Source organism: Homo sapiens, chromosome 3 (genome assembly GCF_000001405.40).
Source record: "Homo sapiens chromosome 3, GRCh38.p14 Primary Assembly".
Lineage (NCBI taxonomy): Eukaryota > Metazoa > Chordata > Mammalia > Primates > Hominidae > Homo > Homo sapiens.
The window spans coordinates 69,830,293-69,843,225 of NC_000003.12; the positions used below are offsets into that span (position 1 = coordinate 69,830,293).

General features: G+C 38.1%; 1 protein-coding gene across 8 annotated transcripts in view; it reads left to right on the top strand.

Annotated features, from left to right (window-relative positions):
• MITF (melanocyte inducing transcription factor) overlaps nt 1-12,933 on the top strand; it is a 228,869-nt gene that overhangs the window by 90,829 nt on the left and 125,107 nt on the right. Inside the window, exon 2 of one of the 8 annotated variants that reach the window (NM_001354608.2) lies at nt 8,302-8,340. The exons of the other annotated variants lie outside the window; for them this stretch is intronic. The gene's annotated coding sequence lies outside the window, so the exon portion shown is untranslated. The remainder of the gene's footprint in view (nt 1-8,301; nt 8,341-12,933) is intronic. 8 annotated transcript variants of the gene reach the window in all.

Here is a 12,933-nt window from a genome sequence, read left to right on the forward strand (position 1 = left end):
GCTGGCCTCCTCACTCTTGCCCAGTGTGCTGCACAGGAGCTCACCTGGGTGTGTACTTCCTGGAAAGCTCGGCCTGCTACCACGCACAGAGCTCATTGCCTCACCTCCTTCAAGACTTTGCTCAGATGTCATCCTCTGGGCCTACCCTGACTACCATGTTTAAAATTGCATTCCTCTCCTGGCCCCCAAATCCTGGCCCTTTGGTTGCTTCTTGTTCTGGCTTATTGTTAACCCTGGCACTTGCTACCTTTAACATTTTCTGTGCTTAGTTATTTGGTTTATCAGGTTTATCATTAGAATTTCCCTCCCCATCCCGATGCTTCATCAAAGTGGGGATGTTTGTCTCTGCTCACTGCTGTATCCCCCACACTTTGAACCTGTCTGGTGTATAATGGGTGCTCAGTAAATGAAAAGGGGGTTCAATAAATGAATGAACAGATATGATATCTGTCTCTCCCTTTCAGTGTGCCCAACATGGAGCTTAAATTTGGCTGGTTGCTCCATGTATACTGCATCCCATCGGTTATGGTTTCATGAATCTCATGTCTTACGTTGCCATAAATTAGCTTTTAATGTATCCCTGTATTTTCTTTTCAGATTACAAATATTCCCATTATCCATTTTCATCTTTTTCTTATTGATTTTTGCTGTCTGTTTCATCTTGCTTTACCCTAGACCCTCAAAGTGTTTGTGGATAAGACCTTAGGCAAGTTAGCTGACTTCTCTACCCCTCAGTTTCCTCATCTTGTAAAATAGGGATAACGATACACAACCTTGCAGGGTTGCTCTGAGGCTGAAATGAGATGATGTGTGTCAAGCAGTTAGCATAGTACCATACTTAAATATTGGTTGCAATAATGCTGTTGAAGATGTAAGTATCTTAAGGCTCAGTGTAATGTCTGGCACATGATGGGCACGGAGTAAATGGCAGCCGTTAACAATTATGCTTCCCCCCCATTATTATCATCACTAATGATATGGTCTGGACAATCGACATGGAGTAGGGCACTAGCAGAAAATCCTCGACAGGGTTAAGGGTTGACGTTCTTGTCCTCTTTTTCTGTTCCTTTTTCTTTCCTCTTCCATGGTGGGGATAAACTTTTTCTCCCCTTGCCATGCAAAGGAAGACCTTCCGTTCTTTGCTGTGTGCTGTGATGTTGGTTGTCACTATCATAGTAATACCATATCTTTTGCAATTTTTTTGTTTGACTAGATAGCAGTAGGTAACTAATCTGGGTCCTCAAGACATATTTCTATATATGGATTTCACAACAATCTTGATTTCCGGCAAGAGTTTCATTTTTGTGGAGGGCATTTCAAGGAGCTGCCTTGTAAATTTCTGAATGCTTGGGTTGTTTGCTTTGTTTCTTTTACCCCTCAGTGCCAGGTAAGTAAAATTCCCCAGATTTGAATCTTACAGTTAATCAATCAGCAAATACTTATTAAGTATATACATGGGAGATTATTTGAAGAGCAGAATGACACAGTGAAAGGTGAGCTTTAGAAAGATTAATCTGGGGGTTGTGTGCCTAATTGGTGGAAGGCTCTGGTGAGCAGAGAAGGGAGAGTTTGTTGTGGGAGTCCACAAGAACCAGTGGTGGAACGGTGCCCGAGGGAGTGGGAGCTGGGGTGGTACACAGGGTGTACGCATGCTCAGCTTCCCTAGGTATAGCCAGCCAGTCTCCCGGAGCCGGTGCCCCAATTTACACTTCCATCCACAATGCTCAGAATTTTGGCTGCTCTCTGGTCTTTCCAACATTTGGTTACTACTGCTACATAACAAATCATGGTCAAACTTAGTGAGTGAATACAATACATGTCATTTTGTTCACTCTCATGGTTTCTGTGGGTCAGGCATTCTGGAGTGCTGGGCTGGGCAGTTCTGTCTCAGCATCTCTTAGGAGGTTGTAGACAGATGATGGCTGCCAGACCATCAGAAGGAGGAGGCCATTGGTGGTCAATTTATACCCCCACTTAACATCTTTCTCTATCTCAAGGGAAAGGACTGGGTGAGGCCAAAGAGGCCTCTTTCTGAGGATACGAAGTGAAGGAGGCATTTTTTCTCAGGGTTATGCAGGTTCTGGCCCTGCCAAAGAAAGTAGATGCCAAACATCTACTATGTGTTAGACCTTGGGCAAGATCTTCTACATTTATTTGAGGTGACTTACTCCCTTTAATGTGATGTTTTTTTCAGGGTTAACTTTCTAGATAGGCCTTTCCTTACCATCCTATCTTCATGCTTTCCCTTTGTATTTTCATCTTATTGCCCAGTGGATCACCTTCGTAGCTTGCTGTTTTCCTATGACATTGTACGCAATTGTTTCCCCGTTTACACTGTATATTGTTGTTTGCCTAGTCACACTGTGTGTGGTTGTTTGTCTAGTTACAGTGTATGTGTTTTTTTTGCCTCGTTACACCATATATAGTTGTTTTCCTATTTATACTGAATGTGGTTATTTCCCTATTTACACTATATGTGTTTTTTTGCCTAGTTACACTGTATATAGTTTGTCTGGTTACACTGTATGTAATTGTTTCCTTATGTGCACTGTATGTAGTTGTTTGCCTATTTATACTGTATGTGATTGTTTGCCTAGTTATACTCTTTGCTTAGTTACACTGTATGTGGTTATATACCTGGTTAGACTGTATGTAGTTGTTTCTCTGTTTGCACTGTATGTGATTGTTTCTCTGTTCACACTGTATGTGATTGTTTCTCTGTTCACACTGTATGTGATTGTTTCTCTGTTCACACTGTATGTGATTGTTTTTCTATTTATGCCGTATGTGGTTGTTTCCCTGTTTATACTGTATGTGGTTGTTTCCCTGTTTACACTGTATGTGGTTGCTTTCCTGTTCACATTGTATGTGGTTATTTTTCTATTTACATTATATGTGATTGTTTTTCTGTTTACACTGCATGTGGTTATTTCCCTGTTTACACTGTATGTGGTTATTTTTCTATTTACATTATATATGATTGTTTTTCTGTTTACATTGTATGTGGTTGTTTCCCTGTTTACACTGTATGTGGTTGTTTCCCTGTTCACACTGTATGTAGTTGTTTTTCTATTTACACTGTATGTGGTTGTTTCCCTGTTTACACTGTATGTGGTGGTTTCCCCGTTTACACTGTATGTGGTTGTTTTTCTATTTACACTGTATGTGATTGTTTTTCTATGTACACTGTATGTGGTTCCTTCCCCGTTTACACTGTATGTGGTTGTTTTTCTATTTACACTGTATGTGATTGTTTTTCTATGTACACTGTATGTGGTTCCTTCCCTGTTCACACTGTATGTGGTTGTTTTTCTGTTTACATTACACTGTATGTGGTTGTTTTTCTATTTACACTGTATGTGGTTGTTTCCCTGTTTACACTGTATGTGGTTCTCTGTTTACACTGTATGTGGTTCTCTGTTTACACTGTATGTGCTTTTTTCTCTGTTTACACTATATGTGATGGTTTTTCTATGTACACTGTATGTGGTTGCTTCCCTGTTTACACTGTATATGGTTGCTTCCCTATTTATACTGTATGTAATTGTTTGCCTTTTTATTGCCTGTCCACCTGCATTCCTTCAGCCTCTATTACTGAAGGTCTGTGAGAGCAGTAGCCATGCCTCTTTCATGCACTACTGTGCACCCAGTAGCATTGCCAGATTAAATATGGATACTCAGTGAAACTTGAATTGTGACTCAAAACAAATATTACCTTCATTTTACTAATTTATTTTTAAAATGGACACATTATAATTGTACATATTTATGGGTATAATTTGATGTTTTGACACGTGTGTGTTGCATAATGATCAAATCAGCATAGTTAACATATCTGTCATCTCATGCATATGTGTTTTCTTTGTGGTGAAAAGATTCAAAAACCTCTTTTCTAGCTGTTTTGTAAAATACAATACCTTACTTTTAACTACAGTCACTGTACTGTACAATAGAACACCAGAAGTTATTCCTCCTATCTAATTGTAACTTTGTATCTGTTCACTAACCTGTCCCTATCCTTTCTTCACCCATCCCCTTCCTAGTTTCTGGTAACTACTGTTCTGTTTTCTACTTTTATGATGTCAGCTTGTTTTACCCCTTAGATTTCACATTTGAGTGACATCATATGATATTTGTCTTTCTGTGTATGGCTTATTTCCCTTAACATGATAGCCTCCAGTTTCATCCATGTTGCTGCAAATGACAGGAGTTCATTCTTTTTTATGGCTGAGTAATATTCCATTCTGTATATATACTACATTTTCTTTATCCATTCATCTGTTGTTGGACACTTAGGTTGATCACATATCTTGGCTATTGTAAATAGTGCTGCAATAAACATGGGAGTGCAGATATCTCTTTGGCATACTGATTTCATTTCCTTTAGATATATATCCAATAGAAGGGTTGCTGGATTATATGGTAGTTATATTTTTAATTTTGTGAGGAACCTTCCTACTGTTTTCCAAAATGGCTGTACTAATTTACAATCTCTCTAACAGTGTGTAAGTGTTCCTTTTTCTCCACATCCTCACTAATACTTGTTTTCTTTTCTTTTTTTTTTTTTTTTGATAGTAGCCATTCTAACTGGAGTGAGGTAGTATCTCCCTACGGCTTTGATTTGCATTTACCTGATGATTAGTGATGTTGAGTACTTTTTTCATATCTGTTGCCATGTGTATATTTTCTTTTGAAAAGTGTCTATTAAGCTTGCTCTTTTACCTTTTTTTTTTTTTTTTTTTTTTTGGCAAAGTCTCACTCTGTCACCTAGGCTGGAGTGTGATGGTACGATCATGGCTTACTGTAGTCTTGACCTCTTGCCTCAAGCCATCATCCCATTTCAATCTCCCAAGTAGCTGGGACTATAGGAGCATGCCACCACGCCTGGCTGATTTTTGTAGTTTTTGTAGAGACCGGGTGTTGCCACGTTGCCGAGACTGGTCTCAAACACCTGGGCTTAAGCAATCTACCTGCCTCAGCTTCCCAAAGTGCTGGGATTGCAGGCATGCACCCAGCTTCTATTTTTTAATTGAGTTATTTGGTTGGTTGGTTGCTGTTAAGTTCCTTAGCTATTCTGGATATTAACTCCTTGTCAGATGTTTAGTTTGCAGATGTTTTCTCCCATTCAGTAGGTTGTCTCTTCACTCTGTTAATTGTCTTTTGCTTTGCAAAAGCTTTTTAGTTTGATGTAATCCCATTTGTCTATTTTTGCTTTTGTTGCCTGTATTTTTGAGGTCTTATTTAAAAAATCCTTGCCAAGCCCAGTGTTGTGAAGCATTTTGCCTGTGTTTTCTTCTAGTAGAGTCATAGCTTTAGGCTTTACATTTAAGTCTTTATTTCATTTTGAGTTGATTTTTGTATATGGTGAGAGGTAGGGGCCTAGTCTCATTCTTCCGCATATGAATATCTGATTTTCTCAGCACCATGTATTAAGGAGACTGTCCTTTTCCTATTGAGTGTTTTTGGCACATTTGTAAAAAGTCATTTGGCTGTAGGTGTGCTAATTTATTTCTGGGTTCTCTATTCTGTTTCATTGGTCTTTGTGTGTGTTTTTATGCCAGTACCATGCTGTTTTGATTACTATAATTTTGTAGTATATTTTGAAGTCAGGTAGTGTGATGCTTCTTTCTTCTTTTTGCTCAGAATTGCTTTAGCTATTCTGGGTTTTTTTGTGATCTCATATGAATTTTAGGATTTTTTTTCTATTTCTATGAAGAATGTCATTGGTATTTTGATAGGAATTATAATAAAGCTATAGATTGGTTTGGATAGGATGGCCATTTTAGCAATATTAATTCTTTCGGTTCATGGACATGGAATATCTTTTCATTTATTTGTGTCTTCTTCAATTTCTTTCTTCCTTGTTTTATAGTTTTCATTGTAGAGATCTTTTACCCTGATGGTTATGTTTATTCCTATATAGCTTATTTTTTGGTAGCTGTTGTAAATGGAATTATCTTCTTGATTTATTTTTCAGGTAGATCACTATTAGCATATAGAAATACTACTGATTTTTTAATGTTGATTTTTGTATCCTGCAACATTATTGAGCAAATAATATCCTAGTATAAGTATATGCCAAATGTAAGACATGTTTATACTGAAAAATTATTTATGGTTTTCCTGAAACTCAAATTTAACCAGATGTCTGGTAGGTTTAAATGCTACATCCAGCAACCCTAGTACCTGGCGTTGAGTAGGGTGTGTAGCATATTGTAGGAGCTCAATAAATACTTGAATGAACAAGAGAGTGAATACAATGAAAGAACACATTTCTTTCTCATGACAATTTTACAAAGTGGATCTTATTATTTTATAGATATGATGAGCAAATAATTCAATAAGCTTGTCTGTGGGTCCAGAGCCAGTTAGGACAGGGTGGGATAACAGTCAAATTTTGAAACTGCTCTTTTCAGCTTTTCAGTACATTGTGCTGCCTTGCTTTGTTAAATGAAATTTCTTCCTTGTAGCAGTCAGATTTTTTGGTTGTATCAACAGAAAACTGAACCCTCCCTAGTTTAAGCAGAAAAAGATATATTCATGTGTATATTAAAGGATTTTTAGGAGCTCTGGGTCCCTGGAGGCCAGAGAAACAAACCAGAGGCTGACTGGCCAGGACTGATTCCCCCAGCGTGTTGTAGAACTGATCCAATGGAAATATTGATGTTGCCCTCACTGGGCACAGATACTGCAGCCTGCACCATTGACGTCCCCAATGTGGACCACTAGACCACACAGCCAAGCCCCTGACCCTTAGGGCTTCCAGATGTAGCTGCATCTTTCCTTGCCAGTGTACATACAGCTTCACACTATTTGTCCCAGATATATCTGATTGAGAACCTGAAGGCATATGTCTCCATGCTAGCTACAAGAGAGTCTGGGAAAGTGAACCTTTGGCTTCTAAAGTCAAAGCTATCTCTGTCTCCCTCTACATTCATTAGAAGGGGAATTTTTCAAGCACAGGAAGTATCTTAAAAGGTGCTGGGCAGCCTAAAAGATAATACGTGTCCACTTGACACTGCCTTTGAGCTTCAGTAGCGCAATACCTTTTGATTTTTTAAGGCAGGTATTACTTTCTACCTTGTTTGAAAACAGGAGTTGTGTTTGCTTTAATTTTTTAATGTGCCCACAGAGTACTGAGCCTGTACTCTCAAGAGGCACTCAATATATGACCGAATAAAAGCTGAATTATCTGTCTAGTGGGATTTTATAGGTGACTTAAATTCTGTTCGTGTGTATTTAAAAAATTTCCAATCATAAACATTTGTAATAAAAATAGTTAAAGTTTCCAAAACTTGATCTAACTGGGAGAAAAACAATAGGTCTGAAGTATCTTATCTTCAAATCTGAAATCCAAAATTCTCTGAATGTCGAAGGATTTTTTTTGTCTGATACCTCATTGGCAGAATTACCTGACCTGAAGTGACACAAGGCTATTTATAGTCTTCATTGTTCCACTTAATTGAATATTCATATGTTTCCCGGCAGAAATATTAATGTACTTGATTACAAACTGTTGCCCTGATCTCACTGGAGTACTATACTGTATATGATCTCTATTATCTCTATAAAATCTGGAAAACTCTGATGTTCAAGACTCATCAGTCCCCAAGGGTTTTTTGAAGTGTGTATGCATGTGTGTATTTGTGTATACACACTTGCATAATATGTACATAGAACGTTCTGGAAGGGTGCATTCAAATTGCCAGCAGTGATTATATCTTACAGAATGGATTAGATGGGGAGATAGTGAGGAATGAATTTATGCTTAATATTCTTTAGCATTTCTAATTATTATTATAAAAAACAATTGCCTTTTTAAATGAAAGAAGATAGAGTAGAATTGAATAGAAATGTTCTTGTACTTAGGAAAATAGTGGTAATATTAATTTTAAAAGATGGTTTGTCAAGTAGGCTATGCGTTTCACATTAGTTCAACATTACAACTGATAAAGACTCAGAAAAAGTTATACACAGAATAGTCAGTCTCCTGCCTTTTGGACACTATATGCATGCCCAGGTGGCAGGGAATTTACGTCAGCAAAAGCACTAATTTTGCTAAAAAAAAAAAAAATAGAGGCACACAAAAATGTGATGAGTAAATGAAACAACTGTTATTAGTGACGGATTTGGCATGTTTTACGAAGTCTGAATGATTACTCATCCACTGTACATTTGCAGAAGTTCTTTAATAAAAACCAGACGCATATGTAGTAGCAGGGGTTAGTAGGTGGATGGGAGGATTAAACCCTGTGCGTTTCTGGAGCATTGGTTTGTAACTGTTTTTTGGCTTGTCAACAGGCTATTTTTCTGAGTCAGCCTATAGGATGGCTTCCCAGGGTAAGTCTGATTTTGCTTTTCTGGTTTTAAAATATAAAGTGGTAATGGAGAGCTGACTAGTTGCTCTCTGCATTAGATTCTGTAAATCAATATTGCCTGCATTTCTTCTGTAAGAAAGACATTGGTCGCATTTCAGCATATTCTAGTGTTCCTGCTGCTCATTTTTGTAGCTTTGCCTTACCTCCCCCTAATTTTAAAAGTCAAATGCCCAAGTGCTGAAAGAATTTGCAAGGGGAATTGCAAAGGTCATGTGTAAGTTCTGTGGCTGAAGTGTGGAGAGCAGTATGATTGAGCTGCAGCCCTTCATGAACCTTTCTTTTCAAGAGGAGGTTTCCAATAAATTAGGGTAGCACACTTTATGTGCTTGTTTATGACCTTAAAAATGGTTTAGATTTTGCTGAGTGGCCATTACTGCTGCTTTATGACATGGAATAATGGTTTCAACCTGCACAGTTTTTCATTTTTTTCATTTTTGTACTGAAACAATGTCATGCATCAGTCAATGTGAAGTTCATTTTTTTTTTTCTTTTAAAGGGACTTGGGAGAATGTTAGACATTAGAATAAGTGGCTGGGTTCTAACTCCAGAGAACTTTGGTTCTTGAAAAAAAAAGTGAAGATTCTCCAAGCCGTTACAAATGAGCTTTGTAGTGATCTCTGATGAAATGATAAAAACACTGCTTTTCCCACTGGAAGATAAATGCCCCTTTTCATTAACTATAGTATGAGGAACAAAATCATGTGATTTTCTTTTTTTTTTTTTTAAGTTTAACCTTAATTACTTTTTAAAGGCAGTTTTCATTTTGTGATTACTTTTTTTTTTCTTCCGGTGCCTAGCATAGTTGAGGATTTTATCTTCTTGTCTATTTTAGGATACTCTAATGAATAACGGAATTTTGACGTGCTCTTTCAAAGGAAGAGTCTAGTTGCATCCTCCCAGCCATCGGCTGGTTGAGCTGTCCTACCCACTTCGTTTCAGCTCATGGAGGCCACCGTGAGGGGCTGGGGCATGTCAGTGGCCCACAGCTATTCTGAATGGTAGTTATATCTATGTGGGGGCTCAGAAGGGAACCGACTTTCCATTCATTAATGTTCAGTACCCACGAAAGAAACCGATATTTAAAAAAAAAAAAGTAAGGGAATTTCAGTTGATTTTTTGAAAAACGAAAACGTTCACATTAGGACCTTTAAAAATGAAAGCATTTATGTTCTCAGTGCTGTGGATCTCACATATAAATAATTGCACCCCATCCCCCTCCCCCCACACCCCTCCTCCCCAAGTCTGAAACCCTGTTGCAAGGGCTGTGTGAAGTGGGAGGTTAATGTGGCCTCTCTTTCTGGGACATCAGTAATTCTTGAATATTTTGGGTAAGGGTAGAAAAGTATCCCATTTCAGCTGATCAGTAATTTAGGAGCTTTTAAATGCTGATGTAAGCAAGGGTATATTATGGAATAGAATCTGAGATGATACTATAAAGAGACATCTCTGTTGCTAAGGGTCAGTCCAGACCACACTCCTAGACCTTACTTCTGGTCCTCCTTGCAAGGGTGGTCATCTGTCCTCTGCTGTGAGATCTTCTTTGGTAGAAATGTGATGGGGTTTGCTTTCACCCCTTCTCAAAAGGCTGTGCCAGGAACACTTCTATGGGCACAATAAGGTGAACCACTGTGAGGTTTGAGAAAATTAATTGCCCGGGGTGAGCTGGAACACTTAATCCATCGTGTCACATATACACAGAGGTCTTTGAAAGGGACAGGAGTCTTGATGGAAGGCTCAGCTACCATCCAGACATTGTTAGAATAAGAAGACAATTGCTCCTTTCAATGAGAGAAAGGGAAGAATAAAATGTGATGGAGATTGGCACCTCGGAAAGGGAAGAATAAAATGTGGTGGAGATTGGCACCTCTTCTGCCATTCTTTAACCTCCATAATGACTTACCAAAGAGCTTTTTTTAAAAAAAGAGATCGACAGGAAAATTAATTATCAATGATTTCAGAGCAGATTATTAGATATGTGAATTATCCAGCCTCTTTGGATTTTGTCCTGTTGTCATCATTTGTCAGTATTTCTCAACATGTCATCGAAAGGTGATTCAGGATGAAGCACAAAACTGTTTTTTTCTCTTTTTTTTTTTTTTTTGAAACAGAATCTCACTCTGTCACCTAGGCTGGAGTGCAGTGCTGCGATCTCAGCTCACTGCAACCTCTCTGCCTTCTAGGTTCAAGCAATTCCCGTGCCTCACCCTTCCGAGTAACTGGGATTACAGGTACATGCCACCATGCCCAGCTAAGTTTTGCATTTTTAGTAGAGATGGGGGTTCACCATGTTGGCCAAGCTGGTCTTGAACTCCTGGCCTCAAGGGACCCACCCACCTTGGCCTCCCAAAGTGCTGGAATTATGGGTGTGAGCCACCACACCAGGCCTCTAAACTGCTTTTTACTCCTAGTTGTGTGTTGCCAGTTCAGAAACTTAATTAAGCTTATGGAATGACAGACATATTTCACCTTTTAGTAGATGAGAATACATTCAAGACTAGGCTTAAGTACATATATCTTCGATGTAATTTATTAAACCCTTAAATCCATATTCACACATACAAAATAATCAGATCTTAAAATAATTATTGGAAGAAAGAAGAGGGAAAAATAGTAGGCAATCTTCATGACACTTTAATGTGTATGTTTACTGCTTAAAATGTTCAAACACATCTTTGTTTTGTATAGTTAATTTTGGTGGTATAATATTTGAAAAGGTGATAGATAAAAAGTGCAGGATGCAATTCTTGAAGCTGTAATTTGCAGGACACTAATAATACAAGTCCATTTTCTTTTCTGAGTGTGCTATTTATACAATTTATATTTTTAACAAATCTTAGAACTGGAATGAAAATAGTAATTCATCTTAAGGGTAAGAAAGGTTGCAGCTGTGCCAAATTTGGAAACTTTAATCAGTCCTCTTAGTGCTTAAGCACAGACTATGGAATATTCTAATTTGTATGTCACAGAGCACAGTGCTCAGCAGAAAGCATGCACTATCTTAAATTAATGTTAATTAATTAATGTTAAATGATTGAGTCAATTTGGCAGTACTTCTTTTCGTCTCTGAAAAGAAATCATATTTAATTTAGAAGTGGCAGGTCAATTTTAAAGCCAAGCTAAAATAAGTAGGTCAAGTGAAATTGTGCACAGGGCAGGGATAGTGGTGTTATATGTACGAAGAAAAAAGACTGAAAGGAAAAATATCAAAATGTTTACCTGTGAAGATGATGAATAATTTGTTTTTTATATATTTTTGTTTGCCTTTAGTTTACCACAGTGGGCAAATACATTCTTCGGAGCAGTATACTTTCATGACATATGTTAAGCTTTACATAACTCTTTGTTAAATCTCCCGTTGATGAATTAATAGTAAACATGATACCTATCAAATATGAAGTGAGCGGTGTCCTCTGTAGTTGGGCAGCATAGTAGCTTTGAGTGGAACTTACATTCTAGCAAAATTCATTTTTTCAAATAAGATTTTATGTAAAATCCAAGTATAGTCAGTTCTGCTATAACACAACATATGTGTTTCTAAAAAATCATCAGGCTACTCCAAAATCATGCAGTAGACAACACACGATGTATAGGAAAAATGGGGCTAGGAGCACAATGCTAAAAAATTTCATCAGTGACATCTGAAAAAAGAAAAGATAGGAAGCTAATAAACACAGTAGACAGATTTATACCCTTTAATTTAAGCGATACATTAATACAACAACAAACTTGTTACTTTGCTTTGAATAACACCTGGATTTTGCTTGTAGAAGTGGCTTCAGAAGAGTTGCAGCTGGTGAGTTATTATGCAGTGGTAGAAGGAAGCTTATCTGAAACTGGATCAAAAATTATAGCATCAGAAGTGAATGAGTGTGATGCATAACACTCTTAGTAAACGGAGGTAGCCGGTAGATGTTTGAAGTGTGTGCTTGGTGCAGCTGGGTGCAGTTTTCAGGGTGTTCACCTACTGTTTCTTGAAGACAGAATCACGCACAAGCAAACCAAAATTCTTGGGGGATATGCTCAAGTTGTTTACTGTGTAACAAATTTGCATTTCCAAAATCAACGTGATGGCAGAACTGACTGAGATGGATGAAAAAAAGCTGCACTAGCTCTAGGTATGTCAGGAGCCCAGTGTGGAACCCAACCTCCCCATCACCACCCCAGGGGTTCCACAGAGCACTGCTGTGTGGTGTAAACTTTATTTTGTTTGTTTGTTTGTTTGTGACCTGGAACAGACACAGAAAGTTATTTTTCTTGTGGAGAGTTTCGGTCCTACCTACATATCCTTCCCTGGCTGGAGTCTGGAGGTGTGCCAAGGGCTTTGGCATTGACAACTTTCAGTTCCACTGCCAGATGGGCTGTCCAGTAAAGCAAATGGCCTTGAACTGAAAACCCTATAGAATACCTCGCTCCAGGTCCTTGCCAGGGACTATAACCTTGAGTACTCAATGAGTACTCCGTAAGTACTCAATACTTATGAAATGCTGCTATGAAAAACCAATATCTATGGATTACAGTGTGAAGAACAGATGTTCATTTGTTTCTCTGGATACCC